The sequence below is a fragment of the Homo sapiens genome, chromosome 21 (genome assembly GCF_000001405.40).
Source record: "Homo sapiens chromosome 21, GRCh38.p14 Primary Assembly".
NCBI classification, from domain to species: Eukaryota; Metazoa; Chordata; class Mammalia; order Primates; family Hominidae; genus Homo; species Homo sapiens.
Genome location: NC_000021.9, coordinates 25,423,897 through 25,450,492, shown reverse-complemented (window position 1 = coordinate 25,450,492; position 26,596 = coordinate 25,423,897). Strand labels below are relative to the sequence as shown.

General features: G+C 37.3%; 2 long non-coding RNA genes and 1 pseudogene across 4 annotated transcripts in view, besides 1 other annotated feature; all 3 read left to right on the top strand.

The window, feature by feature from the left end:
- Nucleotides 1-3,996, top strand: part of LOC105372753 (uncharacterized) — a 72,352-nt gene extending 68,356 nt beyond the window's left edge. For all 3 annotated transcript variants that reach the window (NR_188560.1, NR_188566.1, NR_188564.1), the window contains one exon: nt 39-3,996. This is a non-coding gene — a long non-coding RNA (uncharacterized LOC105372753). The remainder of the gene's footprint in view (nt 1-38) is intronic.
- Nucleotides 4,112-4,258, top strand: CYP2C63P (cytochrome P450 family 2 subfamily C member 63, pseudogene; annotated as a pseudogene).
- Nucleotides 14,723-14,887: a silencer, noted in NCBI's record as "fragment chr21:26807918-26808082 (GRCh37/hg19 assembly coordinates)". NCBI's record gives its function as "represses an EF-1alpha promoter that drives an FKBP-Casp9 reporter gene in an ReSE screen in phorbol 12-myristate 13-acetate-treated (for megakaryocytic differentiation) K562 erythroleukemia cells {active_cell/tissue: K562(+PMA)}" and the evidence as "EXISTENCE:reporter gene assay evidence [ECO:0000049][PMID:32094911]".
- Nucleotides 18,792-26,596, top strand: part of LINC00158 (long intergenic non-protein coding RNA 158) — a 45,882-nt gene continuing 38,077 nt past the window's right edge. The window contains exons 1-3 of the long non-coding RNA NR_024027.2: nt 18,792-19,315; nt 20,484-20,727; nt 25,844-25,939. This is a non-coding gene — a long non-coding RNA (long intergenic non-protein coding RNA 158). The remainder of the gene's footprint in view (nt 19,316-20,483; nt 20,728-25,843; nt 25,940-26,596) is intronic.

The following is a 26,596-nucleotide window of genomic DNA, read 5'->3' as shown; positions in this document are numbered from 1 at the left end:
CAAGTCAGAGATCTTCACAGCAGCTTCTCCCATTACAGGCCCAGAGGAGAGGAGGGAAAAATGATTGCATGGGCCAGGCCCAGGGCCCTGCTGCTCTGTGTAGTCTTGGGACATGGTGACCGGCATTCCAGCTTCTCCAGCTCCAGCCATGCCTAAAAGGGGCCAAGGTACAGCTCAGGCTGTGGCTTCAGAGTGCAAGCCCCAAGCCTTGGCAGCTTCCGTGTGGTGTTGGGCCTGCAGGTGCACAGAAGACAAGGGTTGAGCTTTGGGAACCTCTGCCTAGATTTCAGAGGATGTGTGGAAACACCTGGATGTCCAGATAGAAGTTTGCTGCAGAGGCAGAGCCCTCATGGAGAACTTATACTAGGGCAATGTAGAGGGGAAATGTGGGGTTGGAGCCCCCATACAGAGTTCTCACTGGGGCACTGCCTAGTGGAGCTATAACAAGAGGGCCACCATCCTCCAGACCCCAGAAAGGTAGATCCACTGACAGCTTGCTCCGTGCTCCTGGAAAAGCCACAGGCACTCAACACCAGCCCGTGAAAGCAGCTGTGGGGGTTGTATCCTGCAGAGCCACAGGGGTGGAGCTACCCAAGGTTCTGGGAGCCCACTTCTTGTATCAGCATGCCCTGGATGTGAGACGTGGAGTCAAAGGAAATTATTTTGAAGCTTCAAGATTGAATGAATGCCCTGCTGAGTTTTGGACATGCATGGGGCCTATGGCTCCTTTGTTTTGGCATTTGGAACAGGAATGACTGTACCCCCATTGCATCTTGGAAGTAACTAACTTGCTTTTGATTTTACAGGCTCCTGTGTGGAAGAGACTTGCCTTGTCTCAGATGAGACTTTGGACTTGGACTTTTGGGTTAATGCTGGAATGAGTTAAGACTTTGGGAAACTGTTGGGAAGGCATGATTGGTTTTGAAATTGAAAAGGACATGAGATTTTGGAGGGGCCAGTGGTGGAATAATATGGATTTCCTCTGTGTCCCCACCCAAATCTCATCTTAAATTGTAATTCCTCTGTGTTGAGGGAGGTGATTGAATCAAAGAGCAGTTTCCCCATGCTATTTTCATGATAGTGAATGAATTCTCACTAGATCTGATGGTTTAAAAGTGTTTGGCAGTCCCCTACACCTGTTCCCTGCTACCTTGTGAAGAAGGTGCTTGCTTCCCCTTCACCTTCTGCTATGATTGTAAGTTTCCTGAGGCCTCCCCAGCCAGGTGGAACTGTGAGTCAATTAAACTTCTTTCCTTTATAAATAACCCAGTCTTAGGCAGTTGTTTATAGCAGTGTGAAAATGGACTAATACAAAGTCCTAGCAAAGATAATACAGGTAAATTTTTTATGTTACAGTCTTTTTTTTTTTTTTTTTTGAAATAGGATCTCACTCTTTTGCCCAGGCTGAGTGCAGTGGCACAATCATGTCTCACTACAGCCTCAACCTACCAGGCTCAAGTGATCCTGCCACCTCAGCCTCCTGAATAGCTGGGACAACTGGCACATGACACCATGCCTGGCTAATTTAAAACATTTTTTTTTAGAGATGGGAGGGTCTCACTGTGTTGCCCAGACTGGTCTTGAACTTCTGGGCATAAGTGATCCTCCTGCCTCATCCTCTCAAAGTGTTGGGATTACAGGCATGAGCCACCACACCAGCCTCTATGTTACAGTCTTAGCTCTTAAGGCCTTCAACTGATTGGATGTGGCCCATGCACAATATGGAGTGTAATCTACTATACAGATTTAATTGTTAATCACATCTGAAAAATATTTTATTGTGCCATCTAGGCTTTTGTTCAACCAAGCAACTGGACACAATAGGGTAGCCAGGTTGGTACATAAAACTAAACATCACAATTGGGTTCAATAAAGTATAGCTTTAAAATTATTTTCACCTGTTCCATTTAATTTTTTAAAATGTGGCTACTAGAACATTCAAAATTATGTATGTGGCTCACATCACTCACATTTTATTTCTATTGGACAGTGATGCTCTAGACATTTATGAAAACAAATGTATTCCAAGTGAGTATGGAGGAATTACAGTAAAATATGCTTGAGGCAATTGGTGAAGGCTTTGCAGAGATGGTAAGATGATGAAAGCACAAATCCTTGCATCAGAATGCCTAGGTTTGAATCTCTGCTCTGCCACTTCACTGTGATGCAGGGCAAGAAACTTAACCTCTCTGTGCCTCATTTTCTTCATCTGTAAAATGGGGTAGTAATTAGATCTTCTGCATGGGATTGTGGTAAAGGTTAAATGATTTCATACACTTAAGCATTTAGAATAGTATCTGAGACAGTAAATCTCTATAAATGTTAAAGAAGGTCATGCCTGACCAAAAACTGGACAGATGAGGGGCTGGGCAGTTCCCCGAGGGATTATTGAAAAGGGATGAATTTCACAGGGAGGGAACATGTAACTCTCTTCTTTGGGCTTCCCTTTCTGTCTTACCACAGGAAGATCAGCAGTAGAGTCTCAGTATGTTCTGTGGCTAAGCGTTCAACCACTTGGCATTGAGTTTTGCGTCAGTTGGTGAATGACCAACATGTGTCTGGCAAAGTGCTTGGCATCCCTTTTACTCATTTTACCTGATCTCAGCAGCACCCATCCCTGCAGGACACAGCCTCATTTTTTAATATATTGCTTTTATTTCTTAAAATGTGTGTAAATGGAGCCAGAGAGGAGAGAGGAAGGAGTGAAAACACTGAAAATGGGAAAATGAAAGACTAAAAGATATTTGCAAGACATTTGTCGGTCACACAGCAATTCAATTTTTTAAACAAACTTGACATTGAGATTTATACAGTTCATTTACTCAAAGAAGACTTCAAATTTTGCATTCCACTCCTTTGGGGACTAGTTGAGACATTAAAATCCAAATATTACAAAATAAAATGAACTGAAGCATGAAATTAATATTTAGCATACAGATTTACATAATTTTACTATTTAATAATAGTATTTGATTTTTAAAGCCTACTGCTGACCAAAAACAATGCAAATTATTTATTGTGGGCCACCTACTTACTTCTCAAAAAATCCTGAGAGGTACTTAAATGTTTACCCATATTTTTACAGTAGGACCTGCAGCTTAACAAAATTAAGTAAATGTTCAAGTTTATACAAACAGTACGTAGCTAAGTCAGGAATTTCAACTGAATACATTGAGCTCCCATATTATAACACTCCAGTTTACAAAACATAGTCTGTGCAACTATCAATTTCAAAATGCATGTATTAATTCATCGAATGTTTACTCAGCCCCTTCGTCTAAAGGCACCATCCTAGGCAGCATGTCCATTTGATAGTGTTTCCTTCTAAAACTGAGAGTTTTGAAAGTTAATTGCTTTAGAACTAAAATGCAATTTGAATTATCACTGAATCCTCAGATGACTTTTAGTTGCTGTTATTTTAATTCAAAGTGAATTAATCCAAATGAAAAATGTCCCAGACATTCTACATAATTTTTGCTCTTAATATTCTATTTTTTTGGATCAGAAAGGATAATTTAACCTTAGTAGGTTGTATGTGTAACAAAATTTATTCATTTCTTCTATGTTTTCAGTTTTGTTTACATATAGCCACTCATGATACCTTCTTATGATCGTTTGTATTTCTTTAGTGTTGGTCAAAATGTCTTCTTTTTCACCTCTGATTTTATTTATTTGAGTCTTTTCAATTTTATCTTAGTTATTCTATATAAATGTTAGTCAATTTTGTTCATCTTTTCAAAAAATAACTATTTTGTTGATCTTATAAATTATTTAAAAATCTTTATTTCATTTATTTCTGTTCTGAGCTTTATTACTTCACTCTTTCTACTAATTTTGGTTTTAATTTGTTCATATTTTTATAAAAGTGAGTTACCTTTAGTTGAAATTTCCAGTGAAAACTTAGCAATTGATCAATACCAAATTGACTTTTGTTTTTATTTCTGCCTGTAGATGGAAGTCTATCAAAGATTAAAAAATATTTATCCAAAGTTCAAAGGCTTAGTCCATGTTTGGTGATTATCTTACACTTTGTGCTCATAAAATATTTGGATTCTAAGCTTTCAATTGCGTTTACACAAAGCACATCAATGGATCGCTTCATTGGGTGTTTTGTCCTTCTTGTTTGATTCTTCTTTTTCTATGGAATGGAAGCTATGCCAAAGGGAAGCTCCTACCTGGTCCCATTCCTCTCCCAATTGTTTAAAATATTCTACCCTTAAGAAGTATGAACACCAGCAAATCCATAAGCATGGTAAGTATGGCTATTTTCTTTTTTTAAATTTTGTGATTTTCTACTATTTAAACTTTTAATTTAGATTCGAGGGTACATGTGCAGGTTTGTTTTATAGGTAAGCTCTCGTGTCATGGGGGTTTGTTGTACAGATAATTTTATCACCTAGGTGCTAGGCCTAGTACCCAATAGCTATTTTTTTCTCCTCCTCTCCTTCTTCCCACCCTCTACCCTGAAATAGGCCCTAATGTCTGTTGTTCCCTTTATGTTCATGAGTTCTCCTCATTTAGCTCCCACTTATAAGTGAGAGCATGTGGTATTTGGTTTTCTGTTCCTGCATTAGTTTGCCTAGGATAATATCCTCCAGCTCCATCTATGTTCTGCAAGAGACATTATCTCATTCTCTTTTATAGCTGCATAGTATTCCATGGTGTATGTGTACTACATCTTCTTGATCCAATCTGTCATTGTTGGGCATTTAGGTTGATTCCATATCTTTGCTATTGTGAATAGTGCTGCAATGAACATTTACATGCGTGTGTCTTTATGGTAGAATGATTTATATTCCTCTGGGTATATACCCAGTAATGGAATTGCTGTGTCCAACAGTGGTTCTGCTTTTAGCTCTTTGAGAAACCACCGTATTGCTTTCCACAATGGTTGCGCTAATTTACGTTACCACCAATAGTGTATAAGTGTTCCTTTTTCTTCACATCCTTGCCAGCATCTGTAAGTTTTCGACTTTTTTATAATAACCATTCTGACTGGTGTGAGACAATATCTCATTGTGGTTTTAATTTGCATTTCTCTAATGATCAGCAATACTGAGCTTTTTAAAATATGCTTTTTGGCTGCATGTATGTCTTTTCTAGAAAAATACCTGTTTATGTCTTTTGTCCACTTTTCAATGGGATTGTTTGCTTTTTTCCGTAAATTTGTTTAAGTTCCTTACAGATGTTGGATATTAGACCTTTGCCAGATGCATAGTTTGCAAATATTTTCTCCCATTCTGTAGGTTGTCTGTTTACTCTGTTGATAGTTTCTTTTGCTGTACAGAAGCTCTTAAGTTTAATTAGATCCCATTTGTTAATTTTTGCTTTTGTTATGATTGCTTTTACTGTCTTTGTCATAAAATCTTTGCCCATTCCTGTGTCCAGGATGGTATTGCCTAAGTTGTCTAGGGTTTTTATAGTTTTTGGGTTCTACATTTAAATCTTTAATTTATCTTGAGTTGATTTTTGTATATGATGTAAAAAAGGAGTCCAGTTTCAATCTTCTGCTTATGACTAGCCTGTTATCCCAGCACCATTTATTTAATAGGGAGTCCTTTCCCCATTGCTTGTTTTTGTCAGCTTTGTCAAAGACAGTCATAGGTGTGTGGGCTTGTTTCTGGGCTCTCTATTCTGTTCCATTGGTCTATGTGTCTGTTTTTGTACCAGTACCATACTGTTTTGGTTATTGTAGCCACATAGTATAGTTTGGAGTTGGGTAACATGATGCCTCCAGTTTTGTTCTTTTCATTTAGGATTGCCTTGGCCATTTGGGCCCTCTTTTGGTTCCATATAAATTTTAAAATAGTTTTTTTTTCTTAGTTCTGTGAAGAATGTCACTGGTAGTTTGACAGGAATGGCGTTGAATCTGTAAATTGCTTTGGGCAGTATGGCCATTTTAATGATATTGATTCTTCCTGTCCATGACCATGGGATGTTTTCATATTTTTTGTGTGTGTCATCACTGATTTCTTTGAGCAGCACTTTGGAATTCCCATTGTAGAGATCTTTCACCTCCATGGTTTGCTGTATTCCTAGATATTTTATTCTTTTTGTGGTAATTGTGAATGGGATTCAATTCCTGATTTGGCTCTCAGCTAGGCTGTTGTTGGTGTATAGAAATGCTAGTGATTTTTGTACATTGATTTTGTATCCTGCAACATTGCTGAAGTTGTTTATCATTTGAAGGAGATTTTAGGCTGAGACTATGGGGTTTTCTAGATATAAAAACATGTCATTTGCAAAAACGGATACTTTTAATTCTTCTCTTCCTATTTAAATATGCTTTATTTCTTTCTCTTGCCTGATTGTTCTGGCCAGACCTTCCAATAATATGTTGAACAGGAGTGGTGAGGGAGGGCGTTCTTGTGTTGTGCCAGTTTTCCAGGGGAATGATTTCAGCTTTTCCCTGTTCAGTATGCTGTCGTTTGTGGGTTTGTTGTAGGTGGCTCTTATTATTTTGAGGTATATTCCTTCAATATTTAGTGAATTGAGAGTTTTTAACACGAAGAGATGTTGAATTTTATCAAAAACTTTTACTGCATCTATGGAGATAATCATGTTTGTTTCCTTTAGTTCTGTTTATGTGATGAATTAGATTTATTGGTTTGTGTACATTGAACCAACTTTGCATCCCAAGGATGAAGTTTACTTGACTGTGGTAGACTAGCTTTTTGATGTGCTGCTGCGTTTTGTTTACAAGTATTTTGTTGAGGATTTTTGCATCAGTGTTCATCAAGGATGTTGGTTTTGCATCAATGTTCATCAAGGATATTGGCCTGAAGTTTTCTTTTTTCGTTGTGTCTCTGCCAGGTTTTGGTATCAGGATAATGCTAGCCTCATGGAATGAGTTGGGGAGGAGTCCCCTTTCCTCAATTTTTGGTGATAGTTTCAGTAGGAATGGTACCAGCTCTCTCTGTACATCTGGTAGAATTCTACTGTGAATCCATCTTGTCCTTTTTATTTTTCTTGGTAGGCTATTTATTATTCATTCAGTTTCAGAGCTCATTATTGGTTTGTGCAGGGAATCGATTTCTTTCTGGCTCAGCCTTGGGAAAGCATATGTTTCCAGGGATTTATCCATATCTTCTAGGTTTTCTAGTGTGTGTGTGTAGAGGTGTTTGCAGTAGTTTCTGATGGTTATCTTTATTTCTGTGGGGCCAGTGGTGTATCCTTTCCATCATTTCTAATTGTGTTTATTTGGATTTATTCTCTTTTTTTCTTTATTAGTCTAGCTAGTGCTCTATGTTAGTAATTTTTTCAAAATTCCAGTTCCTGGATTCATTGATCTTTTAAGGGTTTTTTGGTTTCAATTTCCTTCAGTTTAGGTCTGATTTTTGTTATTTCTTGTCTTCTGCTAACTTTGGGATTGATTTGCTCTTGCTTCTCTAATTCTTTCATCTGTGATGTTAGCTTGTTAATTTGAAATCTTTCTAACTTTTTTTCATGGGTGTTTAGTGCTATAAACTTCCCTCTTTACACTGCCTTAGCTGTATCCCAGATATTCCGGTATGTTGTAGCTTTGTTCTCATTAGTTTCAAATAATTTCTTGACATCTGACTTAATTTCATTATGTACCCAAAAGTCATTCAGGAACATGTTGTTTAATTTCCATGTAATTACATGGTTTGGGGCAATTTTTTTTTTAGTCTTGACTTCTATATTTATTGCACTGTGGTCCAAGAGTGTGTTTGGTATAATTTTTTTTGCATTTGCTGAGGATTGTTTTATGTCCAATTATGTGGTCAATTTTAGCGTGTGTGCCATGTGGCGATGAGAAGAATGTATATTCTGTTGTTTTTGGGTGGAAAGTTCTGTACAGGTCTAGCAGATCCATTTGGTCCAATGTTGAGTTCAGGTCATGAATATCTTTGTTAATTTTCTGCCTCAATGATTTGTCTAATACTTTCAGTGGAATGTTGAAGTCTCTATTATTGTGTGGGAGTCTAAGTCTCTTTGTATGACTCTAAGAACTTGCTTTATTAATCTGGATGCCCCTATGTTGGGTGCACATGTATTTAGGATAGTTAAATTGTTGAATTGAACTCTTGTTGAATTGAACTCTTTACATTATGTAATGCCCTTCTTTGTCTTTTTTTTAAAAGCCTTATTGATTTAAAGTCTGTTTTGTCTAAGATTAGGATTTCAACCCCTGATTTTTTCTGATTTCCACTTGCTTGGTAGATTTGCCTCCATTTTTTTATTTTTATTTTGAGCCTATGGGTGTCATTATGTGTGAGATTGGTCTCTTGCAGCATACCATTGAGTTTTGCCTTTTTATCCAGCTTGCCATTCTGTACCGTTTAAATGGAGCCATTTAGCCTGTTTATATTCAGGGTTAGTATTGACATGTGTGGTTTTGATCTTTTCATTGTGTTGTTAGCTGGTCACTATGCTGGTTTGTTTGTATTGTGCTTTATAGTGTTACTGGTCTGTGTATTTAAGTGTTTTTGTATTGGCCGGTAGTGGTCTTTTCTTTCTATATTTAGTGCTTTCAAGATCTCTTGTAAGGCAGGTCTGGTGGTAATAAACTCTCTTATCATTTGCTTATCTGAAAAGGATCTTACTTCTCCTTTGCTTAGGGAGCTTAGTTTGGCTTGATGTGAAATTCTTGGTTGAAGATTTCTTCCTTAAAAATGTTGAATATAGGCTCCCAATCTCTTCTTGCTTGTAGGGTTACAGCTGAGAGATTTGCTGTTATCCTGATGGTGTTCTCTTTTTGCAGGTGACCTGCCCTTTCTCTCTAGCTGTCTTTATCATTCTGCCTTTCATTTCAACCTTGGAAAATTCTGATGATTATGTGTGTTGGGGAGAATCTTGCAGGGGTTCTCTGTATTTCCTGAGTTTGACTTTTGGCCTCTCTAGCAAGGTGAGGTAGTTTGCATAGACGATATCCTAAAATATGTTTTTTAAGTTGTTTGCTTTCCCCTCGTCCCTTTTAGGGATGCCAGTGATTCATATATTTGGCCTCTTTACACGATTCCATATTTCTTGGAGGTTTTGTGCATTCCTTTTCATTGTTTTTTCTTTATTTTTGTCTGACTGTCTTATTTCAGAGAACCAGGCTTCAAGTTCTAATTTTCTTTCTTTAGCTTGGTCTGTTCTGCTATTAATACTTGTAATTGTGTTGTGAAATTCTTTTAGTGTGTTTCTCAGCTCTGTCAGCTCTCTCAGGTTCTTATATATACTGGCTATTTCATCTTTCATCTTCTGTATCATTTTATTGTGGTTTTTAGTTTCCTTGGATTGGGCTTTGCCACTCTCCTGAATCTCGATGATCTTCATTTCTATTTATGTTCTGAATACTGTCATTCCAGCCAGCTCAACAGGGTTAAGAACCCTTGCTGGAGAACAGGTGCAATCATCTGGAGGACATATGACACTCTGACCATTTGAGTTACCGGTTACCAGTATTCTTGCATTGGTTCTTTCTCATCTCTGCATGTGGGTGTTCCTTTAACTGTAGTGTAGATTGATACAGTCAATAAACTTCTTTTCTGTGTGTTTTCATGGAGCTGAGCCTTTGTGCAGGGTCTTTATTTGTAGCTGACTTTTTGTCTTTGGTTTCTCAAAGGAGTCTGTTAATGAGGTATTTTTGGTGTTGAAGCCTTGAGGTGTGATCGAGTAGGTGGTACTTAGGTGTATTGATCAGTTGGTGGGCTCTTGCTCAGTCATGTGGCTTCCTTATATTTTCTCACAGTTGCAGCCATGCCCCTCTCAATACTCTGAGTGTAGGCTCCTCTCCCACTTGAGTGCTGGCTGTAGAGCCCAGCTTGGCACTCCTGAACTGCCCACCACGGCTCTGGGGCAATCTGAGTTTATGTTCCTTTTACAATGTGGAGACAGCAGAGGAAGAAATGTTAGTGGTGGTTGTAGCCACAGTCTCCTTTTTAAAATAATGAATTTTTATCATGATTGTTTTTTGGTTTGCTCTTACTGCCTGAGATGCTCTGTCTCTGACTCCTTTGCACATTCCGTCCTTTCCTGGGTCGAGCTCAATCTTTGTCTCTCCTCTTCACACTCTATGCTCTCCCTGCTAGGAAATCTCTTTACACTTTCATGTACAGCCTGAGTTAATACAAAGACATCATAGAATTCACAATTTGTCTTTGTAGTGCTGGCTTTCCTACTGAGCTCCAGACATGAATAATTAGGTGCCTGGTTGATTCTTCCACTTGTATGTCTCAGAAACATCCCATTTTCAACATGTCCCCCAAAATATCACAATCTCCAAGGCCTCCTATCACACATCTTGTTCTTTTTCAGTGTTTCAAACTTGTATCTAGTTCCAAAGCCTGAAACTTTTGAGTTAGCTCTTATCCCTTCCCTTTATTCTCCACATTCAACCCAACACATCAATACATTAGTTTTTTTTTCTTATAGTTGATCTAATAAATTCAACAGGATAATAACTTGACTGGGCATAATTAAAAAGAGAATTAGGGAATTTGAAGGAAATACAAAAATGTTTTCTCTATAGCATACATAGAGAGATAGAGATTTTTTTTTAAAAAAGGAAGAGTAAAAGATGTTAAAAGATGAGTAATATATTGAGGATTTTTTTTTTTTTTGAGACAGAGTCTCCCTCTGTTGCCCAGGTTGGAGTACAGTGGCATGATCTCAGCTCACTGCAACCTCTGCCTCCTGGGTTCAAGCGATTCTCCTGCCTCAGCCTCCTGAGTAGCTGGGACTACAGGTGCATGCCACCAAGCCTGGCTAATTTTTCTTTTTTCTTTTTTCTTTTTTTTAGTACAGACAAGGTTTCACCATGTTGGCCAGGATGGTCTCAATCTCCTGACCACATGATCCACCCGCCTCAGCCTCCCAAAGTGCTGGGATTACAGGTGTGAGCCACCACGCCAGGCCTTTTTTTTATACTTTAAGTTCTGGGATACATGTGCAGAATGTGCAGGTTTGTTACCTAGGTATACACATGCCATGGTGGTTTGCTGCACCTATCAACCCATCATCGACATTAGGTATTTCTCCTAATGCTATCCCTCACCTAGGCCCCCAACCCCCGACAGGCCCCGGTGTGTAATGTTCCCCTCCCTATGTCCATGTGTTCTAATTGTTCAACTCCCACTTATGAGTGAGAACATGTGGTGTTTGGTTTTCTGTTCTTGTGTTAGTTTCCTGAGAATGGTGGTTTCCAGCTTCATCCATGTCCCTGCAAAGGATATGAACTGATCCTTTTTTATGGCTGCTTAGTGTTCCATGGTGTATATGTGCCACATTTTCTTTATCCAGTCCATCATTGATGGGCATTTGGTTTGGTTCCAAGACTTTGCTATTGTGAACAGTGCTGCAATAAACATACATGTGCAGGTGTTTTTATAGTAGAATGATTTATAATCCTTTGGATATATACCTAGTAATGGGATTGCTGGGTGAAATGGTATTTCTAGTTCTAGATCCTTGAGGAATCGCCACACTGTCTTCCACAATGGTTGAACTAATTTACATTCCCACCAACAGTGTGAAAGCGCTCCTATTTCTCCACATCCTTTCCAGCATCTGTTGTTTCCTGACTTTTTAATTATCACCATTCTAAGTGGCATGAGATAGTATCTCATTGTGGTTTTGATTTGCCTTTCTCTAATGACCAGTGATGATGAGTTTTTTTCTTATGTTTGTTGGCCACATAAATGTCTTCTTTTGAGAAGTGTTTGTTCATATCCTTTGCCCACTTTTTGATGGGGTTGTTTTTTTTTTTTCTCGCAAATTTGCCTAAGTTCCTTGTAGATTCTGGATATTAGCCTTTTGTCAGATGGATAGATTGCAAAAATTCTCTCTCATTCTGCAAGTTGTCTGTTCACTCTGATGATAGTTTCTTTTGCTGTGCAGAAGCTCTTTAGTTTAATTAGATACCGTTTGTCAATTTTGGCTTTTGTTGCCATTGCTTTTGGTGTTTTAGTCATGAAGACTTTGCCCGTGCCTTTGTCCTGAATGGTATTGCCTAGATTTTCTTCTAGGGTTTTTATGGTTTTAGGCCTTACGTTTAAGTCCTTAATCCACCTTGAGTTAATTTTTGTATAAGTTGTAAGTAAGGGGTTCAGTTTCACTTTTCTGCATATGGCTAGCCAGTTTTCCCAACAGCATTTATTAAATAGGGAATCATTTCCCCATTGCTTCTTTTTGTCAGGTTTTTCAAAGATCAGATGGTTGTAGACATGTGGCGTTATTTCTGAGGCCTCTGTTCTGTTTTGTTGGTCTAAATATCTGTTTTGGTACAGTACCATGTTGTTTTGGTTACTGTGGCCTCGTAGTATAATTTGAAGTCAGGTAGCATGATGCCTCCAGCTTTGTTCATTTTGCTTAGGATTGTCTTGGCTATACCAGCTCTTTCTTGGTTCCATATGATATTTAAAGTTTTTTTTTCTAATTCTGTGAGCAAAGTCAATGGTAGTTTGATGGGGATAGCATTGAATCTATAAATTACTTTGGGCAGTATGCCCATTTTTACAATATTGATTCTTCCTATCCATGAGCATGGAATGTTCTTCCATTTGTTTGTGTACTCTCTTATTTCCTTGAGCAGTGGTTTGTAGTTCTCCTTGAAGAGGTCCTTCACATCCCTTTTAAGTTGTATTCCTAGGTATTTTATTCTTTGTAGCAATTGTGAATAGGAGTTCACTCATGATTTGGCTCTCTGTCTATTATTGGTGTATAGGAATGCTTGTGATTTTTGCACGTTGATTTTGTATTCTGAGACTTTGCTGAAGTTGCTTGTTTGTTAGCTTAAGGAGATTTGGGGCTGAGATGATAGGGTTTTCTAAACATACAATCATGTCATCTGCAAACAGAGACTATCTGACTTCCTCTTTTCCTATTTGAATACCCTTTATTTCATTTTCTTGCCTGATTGCCCTGGCCAGAACTTCCAATACTGAGTTGAATAAGAGTGGTGAGAGGGCATCCTTGTCTTGTGCTGGTTTTCAAAGGGAACACTTTCAGCTTTTGCCCATTCGGGATGACATTGTCTGTGGGTTTGTCATAAATAACTCTTATTATTTTGAGATATGTTTCATCAATACCTAGTTTACTGAGAGTTTTATCATGAAGAGGTATTGAATTTTATTGAAGGCCTTTTCTGCATCTGTTGAGATTATCATGTGGTTTTTGTCATTGGTTCTGTTTATGTAATGGATTATGTTTATTGATTTGCAGATGTTGAACCAGACTTGCATCCCAGGGATGAAGCCCACTTGATCATGGTGGATAAGCTTTTTGGTGTGCTGCTGGATTCAGTTTGGTAGTATTTTATTGAGGATTTTTGCATCGATGTTCATCAGGTATATTGGCCTGAAATTTTCCTTTTGTTGTTGTGTCTCTGCCAGGTTTTTTGAATCAGGATGATGCTGGCCTCATAAAATGAGTTAGGGAGGATTCTCTGTTTTTCTGTTGTTTGGAATAGTTTTAGAAGGAATGGTACCAGCTCCTCTTTGTACCTCTGGTAGAATTTGGCTGTGAATCCATCTGGTCCTGGGCCTTTTTCTGGTTGTTAGGCTATTAATCACTGCCTCAATTTCAGAACTTGTTATTGGTCTATTAGGGATTTGACTTCTTCCTGGTTTCATCTTGGGAGGGTGTATATGTCCAGGAATTTATCCATTTCTTCTAGATTTTCTAATTTATTTGCATAGAGGTGTTTATGGTATTCTCTGATGTTAGTTTGTATTTCTCTGGGATCAGTGGTGATCTTCCCTTTATCATTTTTTGTTGTGTCTATTTGATTGTTCCTCTTTTCTTCTTTATTAATCTGGCTAGAGGTCTATCTATTTTGTTAGTGTTTTCAAAAAACTAGCTCCTGGATTCATTGATTTTTTGAAGGGTTTTTCGTGTCTCTATCTCCTTCAGTTCTGCTCTGATCTCAGTTATTTCTTGTCTTCTGCTAGCTTTTAAATTGGTTTGCTCTTGCTTCTCTAGTTCTTTTAATTGTGATGTTAGGGTGTCAATTTTAGATCTTTCCCACTTTCTCCTGTGGGCATTTAGTGCTATAAATTTCCCTGTAAACACTGCTTTAGCTGTGTTCCAGAGATTCTGGTACATTGTATCTTTGTTCTCATTGGTTTCAAAGAACTTATTTATTTCTGCCTTAATTTTGTTATGTACCCAGTAGTCATTCAGGAGCAGATTGTTTAGTTTCCATGTAGTTGTGAGGTTTAGAGTGAGTTTCTTTATCCTGAGTTCTAATTTGATTGCACTGTGGTCTGAGAGACTGTTTGTTATGATTTCTGTTCTTTTGCATTAGCTGAAGAGTGTTTTACTTCCAATTATGTGGTCACTTTTAGAATAAGTGCGATGTAGTGCTGAGAAGAATGTATATTTTGTTGCTTTGGGGTGGAGAGTTCTATAGACGTCTATTAGGTCCACTTGGTCCAGAGCCGAGTTCAAGTCTTGGATATCCTTGTTAATTTTCTGTCTCATTGATCTGTCTAATATTGACAGTGGAGTGTTAAAGTCTTCCACTATTATTGTGTGGGAGTCTAGGTCTCTTTATAGGTCTCTAAGAACTTGCTTTATGACTCTGGGTGCTCCTGTATTGGGCGTCTATATATTTAGGATAGATAGCTCTTCTTGTTGCATTCATCCCTTTACTATTATGTAATGCCCTTCTTTGTCTTTTTTGATCTTTGTTGGTTTAAAGTCTATTTTATTAGAGACTAGGATTGCAAACCCTGTTTGTTTTGTTTTGTTTTGTTTTTTTGCTTTCCATTTGCTTGGTAAATATTCCTCCCTCCCTTTATTTTGAGCCTATGTATGTCTTTGCACTTGAGATGGGTCTCCTGAATACAGCACACTGATGGGCTTGACTCCGTATCAGATTTGCCAGACTGTGTCTTTTAATTGGAGCATTCTGCCCATTTGCATTTAAGGTTAATATTTTTATGTGTGAATTTGATCCTATCATTATGATGCTAGCTGGTTATTTTGCCCGTTAGTTGATGCAGTTTCTTTATAGTGTCGATGGTTTTTACAATTTGGTATGTTTTTACAGGGGCTGGTGTGGTTTTTCTTTTCCATATTTAGTGCTTTTTTCAGGAGCTATTGTAAGGCAGGCCTGGTGGTGACAAAATCTCTCAGCATTTGCTTGTGTGTAAAGAATTTTATTTCTCCTTCACTTATGAAGCTTAGTTTGGCTGGATCTGCTATTCTGGGTTGAAAATTCTTTTCTTTAAGAATGGTGACTATTGGTCCCCACTCTCTTCTGGCTTGTAGGGTTTCTGCCAAGAGATTCACTGTTAGTCTGATGGGCTTCTTTTTGTGTGTAACCCGACCTTTCTCTCTTGCTGCCCTTAACATTTTTTCCTTCATTTCAACCTTGGTGAATCTGATGATTATTTGTCTTGGGGGTTGCTCTTTCAAGACTTATCTTTGTGGTGTTCTCTGTATTTCCTGAATTTGAATGTCAGCCTGTCTCGCTAGGTTGGGGAAGTTCTCCTGGATCATATCCTGAAGAGTGTTTTCCAACTTGGTTCCATTCTCCCAGTCACTTTCAGGTACACCAATCAAACACAGGTTTGGTCTTTTCACATAGTTCCATATTTCTTGGAGGCTTTGTTCTTTCCTTTTCATTCTTTTTTCTCTAATCTTGTCTTCACGCTTTATTTCATTAAGTTGATCTTCAATCTTTGATATCCTTTCTTCTGCTTGATTGATTCAGGTATTGATACTTGTATATGCTTCACGAAGTTCTCGTGCTGTGTTTTGCAGCTCCATCAGGTCATTTATGTTCTTCTCTAAACTGGTTATTCTAGTTAGCAATTCCTGTAACCATTTTTCAAGGTTCTTAGCTTCCTTGCATTGGGTTAGAACATGCTCCTTTAGCTCAGTAGAGTTTGTTATTACCTACCTTCTGAAGCCTACTTCTGTCAATTCATCAAACTCATTCTCCGTCCAGTTTTGTTCTCTTGCTGGCGAAGAGTTGTGATCGTTTGGAGGAAAACAGGTGTTCTGGTTTTTGGAATTTTCAGCCTTTTTGGCCTGGTTTTTCTTCATCTTCATTTATTCATCTACCTTTGTTCTTTGATGTTGGTGACCTTCGGATGGGGTTTCGTTTGGACATCTTTTTTGTTGATGTTGATGTTCTTCCTTTCTGTTTGTTAGTTTTCCTTTTAACAGTCAGGCCCCTCTACTGCAGGTCTGCTGGAGTTTGCTGGAGGTCTATTCCAGACCCTGTTTCCTGGGTATCTCCTGCAGAGGCTGCAGAACAGCCTAGATTGCTGCCTGTTCCTTCCTCTGGAAGCTTCCTCCCAGAGGGGCACCCACTGGATGCCAGCCAGAGCTCTGCTGTATGACATGTCTGTTGACCCCTGCTGGGAGGTGTCTCCCAGTCAGGAGGCACGAGGGTCAGGGACCCACTTGAGGAGGCAGTCTGTCCCTTAGCAGAGCTTGAGTGCTGTGCTGGGAGATCCGCTGCTCTCTTTGGAGCTGGCAGGCAGAAACATTTAAGTCTGCTGAGGCTGCCCCCATAGCTGTCCCTTCCCCCAGGTGCTCTGTCCCAAGGAGATGGAAGTTTTATCAGTAAGCCACTGACTGGGGCTGCTGCCTTTCTTTCGGAGACGCCCTGCTCAGAGAGGAGGAATCTAGAGAGTAAGACATCATTTTTCCAGTACATGATTCAAGGTTGCCATGTCCCTCACCTGGATCAATAGATTAGCTTCCTGCATCCTTTCGACCCTTTTCTAATTTCTTATCTGCACTGTAGCAAGGCTGGCATTTTGAATTTCAAGCCTCATCGTATCATTACTCTTTAAAAATATTGAATTGTTTGTCATTTTATTGAGTAAAGTTCAAAAATTATTGTCCCAGAAAATCTACGGTAAAGTTTTAATTTCTGGACCCTAATTTCTACGCCCCATTTCACATCTAGCTTCTCCTCATTTAGCTACACAGGTCTTTTGTGTTCTCCTTGGTCCAATCATATGCTTTCTGGCCATACAATCTGTTCTGTTTACTTGCCCCTCTCCCTCCCACCCCTCATTCTCAGGACACTATTCTCTTTCAGAGAATTTACCATAATTGGGATTTATTCATATAATCCTTTGATTATTGTCTGTGTCCACCTGTCAGATCAGAAATGCCAAGAAGTCTTAAAGGGCTTGTGTTTCTCTTTTCCTTCACTATTGCATCTCTGTTGTAGTAAAGTGCTGGCACATAACAGAAACTCAACAAATGAAGGCATTGTCTCAACCAATGCTCACATCAACCCTACCTCAGAAGTATTTTCATTCCTCAATTTCCATGTGCAGCCAGAGAGGTTGATTTGATTCATCAGCATGCCCAAGACTGCACAATCAGTAGAAGGAAGAACTTGGAACTGAAAGCAGGTCATGCTGTTTTTACTCTTCCACACTACATTTTAGACCTCCCTGTTTCTTAAGCTTGGGGGTGGATAACAGGAACCATGTGACTATCCTACTCCACTCCGTCCTTTTTTGTTATTAAATTGTACTGGAAATTTGGGCTTTCAGTGATTGTATTTTTTTCTGAACATGCATTTTTTTTTTAGAAAAATGAACTGACTAGTTTTTTTTAAATGAAATATGATTAAGAGAAAATAATCTCTGATGGGCCCATAACCAGCAACTTTGGATATTTTTCATTAAGTGGAAGAAAAATATAGACTTTGGCAATTGAGACGATCTTCATTAATAAATAAAAGGATTGTTCCAGATGTGCTATAAAATAAATACATTGAGAAGATGTGAAAAGCAAGAGGGTTTAATACACAGCCAAAATTTTAGTGTCTCTATTGGTAATAATCAGAATAACTTGTTTGATTATACCATTGTGATTTAGTTGGATCACATAATATGTTGGTATTTGGCCATTTGGGGCCATGAAACAACATTTTCTTATGGTTCAATCCCCAATAATGGGAGATTTTTCTCTCCCTCCTCTGTGTCCCAGGAAATGCTTCATTTCCCATGAGCCCATTGAAAAGAGGCTGACTTAGGTTGAATTTGCTGACAAGTGTGTTGGTTCTTCTTTCTTCCCCATTTCTATATGTTTGTCCATCTTCCATGTGGAAGCTGTGGACTAGTTAGAGGTAATCTGCTACTTGATCAAAAAGGATAAAGAAGTTCATGAAACTTCAATGACCTCTGTACTTACAAGTCTCTTTTAGAGAAAATGGCCTGAAGCAGCATCTTCCTGCAACCTTTTATATGACATTTACTCACATTGAGTGAAAAAAATGGGTTCAATGGATTGGACCAGAAATCAGGAGGTAAAGTGTACTAGTGAGAAGGAGATGAGAAATCATGTGAATTAAGAGAGATGATCTCAGTTTCTGATTTTCCAGTTCCCAATATATTTATAAGAGGTCTGGGTGTATTTTATTTTTCACTTTTGAATGTCTATGAAGTTGTCCTTTATAGTCTTCCAGCAAAAATGTTTTTATTTGCCCTCATTTGGGAAAACTTTTTTCATCACTGAATAATCCCTGACCAGCACAAAAATTAAATGGGGGTAATGTCATGTATATAATATAAACTCTTAAAGATAATGAAATACATCTACTTAAAAAGAAAAATGTTCTTTCTCTTGTGGAACTTAGGTTTCAGAATGGAAGTGTATTTTATATTGGCCAATTGGACTGGCTGTGAAAGACCAGTAACCAAGCAAGAGAAGTAGATGTTGCTTTAATGAGGTATAAACTATATCTTGTTAAATAGGTCTTATCTTAGACAAGTAGTATAAATGCACACCCAAACATCATTCATTTGCAATACAGAGGCATTTAGAAGTGATTCACATGGATTTTTTCCTTTTATTTTTGGAAAGGATTAATCTAAGCTTCTGCTGTGTATGGACCTGTGGCTACATTACAAAATTCAGTTGTGAAGCTATAAAATCAATTAGTCTAGACCTCAAATCTTATTTCCTATGAAAAGCCTCAAACTTGTAGCTGTATGAACAAGTGTTTTTGGAATTTTTTTTTTTTTGCTAGAATGGAGAGAACACACTGGAGATCACAAATGCATTTATTCTTTTTCACCAACTGTTTCATTGGCCTTAAAAAATACTAGGCTAAACTTAAGTGGTAAAGATCTGAAATAAAAAGATGCATCTTTATGTCTGAACAGCAATTTTTCATAGGTCTCTAATAACTTGCATTTCCTTATCTATGGATAAGGAGATCTGAAATTGATCTACATTTTCTTTAGTAATGTTTTCTCTGTTTATTGAGAACAGATATCTTCATCTCCTTCATGCATTATCCTTAGTAACAGATGTCAGTAGGATCCAGAGCCATTTTGGAACTTTACCAAGGATTAAGGATGAGCACAGATCACATCAAGAGTCTGTAAGAAGACAGTATTTCTGATTTAGACCCATAAAGACAGTATCTCATAATTGTGAGCAAAGATTGCATGTGAAGGATTATATTTGTTTTTCCTGACAAGATGTTGCATACTATGGAATGTAAATTTTTGTGATGATTGGAGAGGAACTGAGCTCCTTTCTAGCTCAGTTTCTTTCTAGCTCAGTCCCTTTCCAATCACCATAAAATGGAAGCACAAACCTTCAACAAAATATATTCCTTAGCTGAGCTTGAGATTTTGCATAGCCTCTCATTTATTCTTTCTAGAATCAGTAAAGTGCATTAGGATTCAGAAGACTCCACTTGTTCTATTTGCTCTCCATTGCATTATGACTTCATCAGGCACTGCTATCATGGGGCACTGGTAACAAATGTATGTACTTTCTAAATACTTACGATGTAGTAGCTAGGTGGCTACATGTTGGGCAAAATGGGATAAGACAATATCATTTTAACATGCTTCAAGTACTATGTCAAGGTCTTACTATGTACTATTTCATTTTAATCCTAAAAAAAAAAAAACACTCAGAAGAAGGTATGATCGGGTATATTTTATAGATACAGAGGCTAGAGTTCAGAGACATGAACCTACCTGGCCCCCTCTGCACATAAACAATTATTAAGTAAGTGGATGTTTCGGGAGTCAAATCCAAGTTTATTTTGTTCCAAATCTGCTTCTCTTAATTAATATATTCTACTGCTTCCAGATACCATTATTTACCTTTAAGTGACTGAGATTCTAATGATACTGGTAAACCTGTTAGTAATAAACCGAGCAGGTTACAATGAAAGAAAGTATAGACTCTAAGAGGCTATAGAGAAGGCACATAAGCTGGGTTGACAGGATGAGACAAGGCATTCTGGAGAAGGTAATTGTGGTGGGGGAGTAACAGGCAACCCACAGTGATGGAGGGCAGCCATATTTCAGTCATTGGGCAGGGAGTGTGCACATTCTGGAAACAACACATCATTTTTGTAAAGTTGGGACCTAGAGTGAAAATACGGGAGTGATTGAGGATGAGAGTAAAGGGTAGGAGCCTTGTATGGCATCATTTATAGCACCCTTAACAGATTGAATTTTTCTATAAATCAATGGGAAGATGTTGATGATTTTATGAATACGAGTAATATGATTAAATCTGAATTTTAGAAATATCACTTTGGAGGCCATGTGCAGATCAGATTTGGAAGTGACCAAGACTGGAGGCAGGGACACCAGAGTTTTCTGTTAAAAACTGGTCCATGCAAGAAAAGATGACTCCTGAAATAAGACAGTGATCATTAGGATGAAGAGGAAGAGAAGATTTGAGGAATACTTAGAACAGAATTTACTGAATTTACTGGTTGAATTGAATGTGAAGAGGAGATGAATAAAGAAGAAAACACCCTCAAAGGTAATAACTAATTTTCTGTCTCGACTGAGTGTTTGATCAAACGAATGGCTATACAGGAGGAACAGTTTATTGTGAAAATGATGGGGTACCTCTACAGGACACCCAGAGAGGGAGGTTTAGGATAGTACATATGTATCTGGAGCTCTGCAGAGAGGTCCAAGCTAAAGATATGCTTCTGGAACTCATCAGCATAGAGGTGGTAGTTCAAGTCAGTAGAGAGGAAGAGACCTTTTAGGGACAGTGTGAAGAAACAGAAAGGAGAAGATGAGCAAAGAAGCTCCAACATTTAGAGGGTGGGTAGAGGAGAGGAGCCTGTGAAAAGTATGTGAAAAGCATGTAGATTTATTAAATGACTATAGTCAATAAAACAAAGGGAGGTGAGAACGACTAGAAGGGATGAGGAGCAGCTTCATATTCTACAGAGAAGTGAAAAAGTCTGAAAAGAATCTTTTGGATTTAGCACCAGAATGATGATTGAGATAACATTTCTCTTCAGTTTAATAACTTTTGTTTCTCAAAAAGTTATTTAAAAAAGCCCTATCACCTCCTCATGGTGATAGGGCTTAGTGTGGTTAGAGTTGGCTCAGGAGAGAGGCGTAAGTTCAGGGTTTATACACCACTCCAATATTCACAAAAGAGGTGGCATAGTAGAAGAGATTTTTTTTTCTCCTTGAAATAAAATTATAAAAATAAGCCTTATTTAATATCTTTCTCTGTTTGTGTACCCCACCCAAGGAAATCAAGGGATTTCTCCTCATTAGAAGGAATTGCCCTAGGAGTAAGAATTTATCCCTTTCCACTTTCAGAGTCCCCTCTGAGCATACACTATACAGCAAACATTGGATGAAGAATGTGTATTTTCAGTTTCAGAAGCTGTGAGTGTTCAAATTATATGTTAGTATATTAGCTTTAAGAACATAACTTCTACCACTCAAACAAAGTTAGAATTGTGTTCTTACACCTTGTGACACTGAGCAATGAATCAGAAACAGAAATTTTCAGTGCATGAGCTTGAGTCAGATAGGTCTGTGTTTGGACACCACCTCACACTTTCTAGGACATCATGGGGAATTAATTTATTTTGGTTTCACTTTCTTTGTAGGGGAAGTGGGAATGATGATATCTACCTTGTAAGGTTTTCATAAGTAGTTAAGGAGATAATGTACATTCAGCATTTAAACAGTTCTGTGCAAATAATCACTGCTCAATAAATGTTAACCAGTATTACTTTTATTCTAATTTTAAAAGTCAACCTTTCTTCTCTGCTTTGGGACACATCCTTGATTGTGGCTTTTCAGACATTGCTCCCACACCTTGCCACACTCCACTCTTCTTAGGGTCCTCAGTCTTTCCTTTTTAAATTCTTTCTTGTTACCAGTCATGCCCAGGGATCACTTGCCTTAAAGAAATCAACGTTTTTCTTTGGATATTGATACCTATTTAATAAACTTAAAATTTATTTCTTTTCATGATCAACTCTTATAATGAGTAGTCTATGCTTACTCTCATTTTTTTCATTTCATTTTATTTGTAAACTTTGAAATTGAATCTTAGCCTACTGGAACATAGACTCCTGAAATGGCTCATTGGTGACATATTGCTAGTGAAAATAAATGGCCTTTTAAAATCTTCCACCTCTTGGGTCATTCAGCTGCATGTGATTTTCTTGAGAACCTCGTCTTTGAAAAACTTCTTGCTCTTCTATTATGTGTCACCACAACATCTTCAATCTTTTCTTCACGGGTCCCGCTTTTCCCTCCTACATCACAGTCATTGGAGTGTCTCAAGGATTGGTCCTTAGCTTTCTCTTCTCCTTTTTACACCAATCCCTTCACAGAGTTTTATCTACTTAGAGTTTTTACCATGCTTTTGATGATGAAAAGCATCACATCTACATCTGTGTTGTGACCTTTTAACTCGTACCCAACCTCCGTATCTGCAAATATGGGACCCCTAGAATTCCTGTCATTGTCTCATTGTCTTCAGTAGATAAGGTCGACTTTCACCCTTTTTTTGAGCTTAACTATTTTTCAGTCAACAAAGACTTCTACCCTTAAAAAAATTATTTTTTGGCTGTACCATTCAGATTAGAATCTGCCTTAAACTATGTGAAAACCCTATCATCCCTAGCTTCTGTGTGCTTTGAGGTCAGCACCCACATTTATATTTCTTGTGTGACATTCAAATACTTCACAATCAACTACTGTGTCCACTTAAAAAAAAAGTCAGTGTTGTAGATGAAAAACAAAACATAGGTAAACATCAGATTAGAAATACTATTATACCCTAGAGTGGTCTAATACTTACTTGGGAATTTGTATTTATTGTCAGGCTAAAGTTTGTTTAATAATATTAATAGACATAATTAGAAGTGAGATTTAAATGATTAAATATTGAGGGTCATATAAAACAGACATACTAAACAAATTTTTTTTTTTGTTAATTACTTGGCACTTGAACTTAATATAATTTAATGTGTTTCTCCGTAACTCTGGTTAAGAAATGAATAGGAAATTTTCAATGGAAGTATTAAATGGGGTATTTAGCAAACATTTTATGAGCCACAATTTGAAGAATGTTGTTAATTCTTAATATAATTACTTTCATTAAAATCCAGTAAATCTGATTTGTGCAGTTAACTAGAAAAAAAATGCTTGAGTAGTAAATTCTATGTTGAAGAAATATTTTGCTTTGTGTGGTATTGAGCAAAGCTTTCTTAAACTTTCATGTTTTTCATTTGAAAAGATCCAGACTAAATCTCAAACAAATGGTAGATTTGGTAAAGTCAAACAAAACACTTTTTGGAACAGATCCGCCCAAAAAGGAAGCAATTTTTCATAGATTTGAACAAAAGGACTAAATTTCCTTATTCCTACTTAGTATACAGGTCAATTTCAGTACATAGACTTGTTTTGTGTATTTTCTGGTTAAGAAATGACTTAAATTCTATTATGGATAGGGATACTTAGTAGGCCTCTTCCGGTGGTCAAATAATAATTTTGATACTATTTGGGGCTATATGTTAGTATATCGAAAGTCCAGTTTGAATTATTTTCGACAGCTGAGTCACCACAGTGATTTTGCAAATGACTTTTATTTTTTCACTTTGATTTCTCTATCACAATTCAAAGAAGGATTTTGATCAGACACTATACTAAATTATTTAATAATGAGAAAAATTTGAAGTCATTAACAAGAGAAAAGTTGAAAACTAATAAAGTTTAGCAGAAATTTTGCCAAGAGAGAGATGAGGGCCAGATGTGGCTGACTTACAGCTGAGACAAGTCAACAGCATCAATGTTTTATCTTAGTCTATCCAAAAAAAAATGTGTCTCCAAGATGCCATATTTATGCCTCCAGGTATCTGTTTTATTTGATGTGTTGCTACTGTACTTTCATTTCTTCACTTCTTTATTCTATCAAAAATATGTGTATTACAATTTGCAATTGTAAAAATTTGGAACCAGCCTGAATGATATACCATGGAATACTACTCAGCAATTAAAAGGAATGAAATAATAGCATTTAAAGTAGCCTGGATGGAACTGGAGACTATTATTCTAAGTAAAGTAACTCAGGAATGGAAAACCAAACATCGTTGTTTTCACTAATATGTGGGAGCTAAACTATAAGGATGCAAAGGCATAAGAATGATACATTGGACTTTGGGGACTTAGGGGAGAAGGTAGGGGATGGCAAGGGATAAATGACTACATGTTGGGTACAGTGTACCCTGCTTGGGTGATGGGTGCACCAAAATCTTGGAAATCACCATTAAAGAACTTATTCACGTAACCAAACACCCCATGTTCCCCAAAAACCTATTTAAATAAAAAATTGACAAATTAAAAAAATAAAATAAAATGAATTAATCATAAAAAACCCCAAAACCAAAAAACAAAAATAAGTGTATTAAATACCAAATATGTGACCAGATACCAATGATTGGCATTGCCTCTAAAGCAAGTGAAGTTACAGCCCTGACTCTCGCTAAGTTCTTCTCATTCATCTTTACCCACACCTTATTCCCAGATGGGAGTCACTTGCAAGAATCACAAGGTGTGAATGTGGGTTTTATACTTTGGGGATTGTGGGATTCATGGAAGTTACAGTTGGGAAAATATGTATCTGGCTTTTGAACCCATTGTATTTCCTCTGTTGTCTCTATACTGGAAACACCAAGGAATTCAGTAAAAAGAGGTAGAACTTGGAAAGGCTGAAGCCCATTTTAAATAGATCAAGTCCTCCCGGAGTGGGGGAAGATGGCCACTGTGAATTACAAGACCAGGCTAATGATGCTGTGATATACATTTAGGTAGTAGTTGAGATGTAGAAGGTGGGAGACCCAAAAGAAAGTTAGCATAACTCTGTTTTTTTATTCTTTTTCTTACTGTAATGAATCACCTAAGCTTCCTCTTTCAATTCATGGGGTAATCTTTAAATAACTACAGAAGAAGTGGGCATAATTATAGACAGGTTCATTCTTTTCAAGATATTTTTATTCCAGCTGTGCGTTTCTTGATATTGTGTCTCCTTTCTCTCTCTTATTGTCCTTTATGTTTACACTCTGCATATTTTAAAAGAGTGATTCCTTTTCCTTGTAAATAATTAGAAATCATAGAAGTTTCTAAATAAACACAAAATAAACAATGGGATGGTGTCTCCTTTTATAGTTAAAGTTACAAGATTGTAGAGAAAAATGATTGGAAATAGGTTGATTCCATGAAGCTAGGAATAGAAAGAATAGAAGGGAAGAGGATTTGCATCGCACTTTTTTATGATATCTAAAATCCAAGTTATTTTCATAGGGGCTTGTCAGTCCTATAGAACATTCTCTATGTAGAGAGGAAAGTCACTACTGCAGAAGAGATAACCTCCTAGGGTGCGTCCCCAGGGATCCCAGCTTCTTCAGGCTTCTCTGATCCAGTATAAGTTACAAAACTTACAATCAGTGGGGAATTTCCTTATTTGAAGTCTTGCCACTTCAGTGACTTTCTAAATAGAAATTAGAGAACCCAGAAAGGTTTTGAAAAAATTTTTAGTTCTTCCTGGCAATTGCATGTATATTTTTTTCTGCATGTTATTTGGATGTGAGGAGCTGTCATTATTATTTTAGGAACAAATATGAAACAATCTCTGGAAAATGGAATTTGATTTTGATTCAACAACAGGAGAATTCTACTGTTTTTCTCCAGCAGCTCCACGATAAAAGGTATGTTCAATATCATTGAGAAGAAAGGCTACAAATGCTGCTTTTTCTTCACAATTATCATTTGGAATAAGTATAGTGAAGGCAAACTTTGAATAATTAGGGGCATAAAATTGACATGTGCTTTGGTTTTCTTGATATTAAAAAAATGTATACTATGGATAGTCATCTAGAAGTTTACTTCAAATTTCCACTGACTTTCTTATGTAGAAACAGATATAATATTCCTTTTCTAAAAAGTGAAAAAGGGAAGCGACAAAGAACAAATGTTTCACGGTTCATTGATTATAGGACCGAAAATAAGAAGACTGCATGTGTGGTATGTGTGTATGTAAAAGTGAACGAGAGAAAGAGACACAGAGAAAAAGGTGTTTGAGGCAGAAAGGAGAGTTTTTGGTAAATAAAAAAGCTCATCTATACTTAAAACATAAAAGCTTAAAATAATGCAAAGTAGAAAAAAATGGCTATAAGGGAATACTAAGAAGAGAGAAATTGGTGAGATAGGATATTTTCCATAACAATTTTTAAAGGTCATAACTATATTTTTATTTCCTAAGCTCAAACTCTATGATTATAAATAACTGACATGACTAGGTTCTGGTCACAACTTTGAACTTAGTTAGATTTGATTTTTGTGTTTTTCTTCATCTATCTACCAAG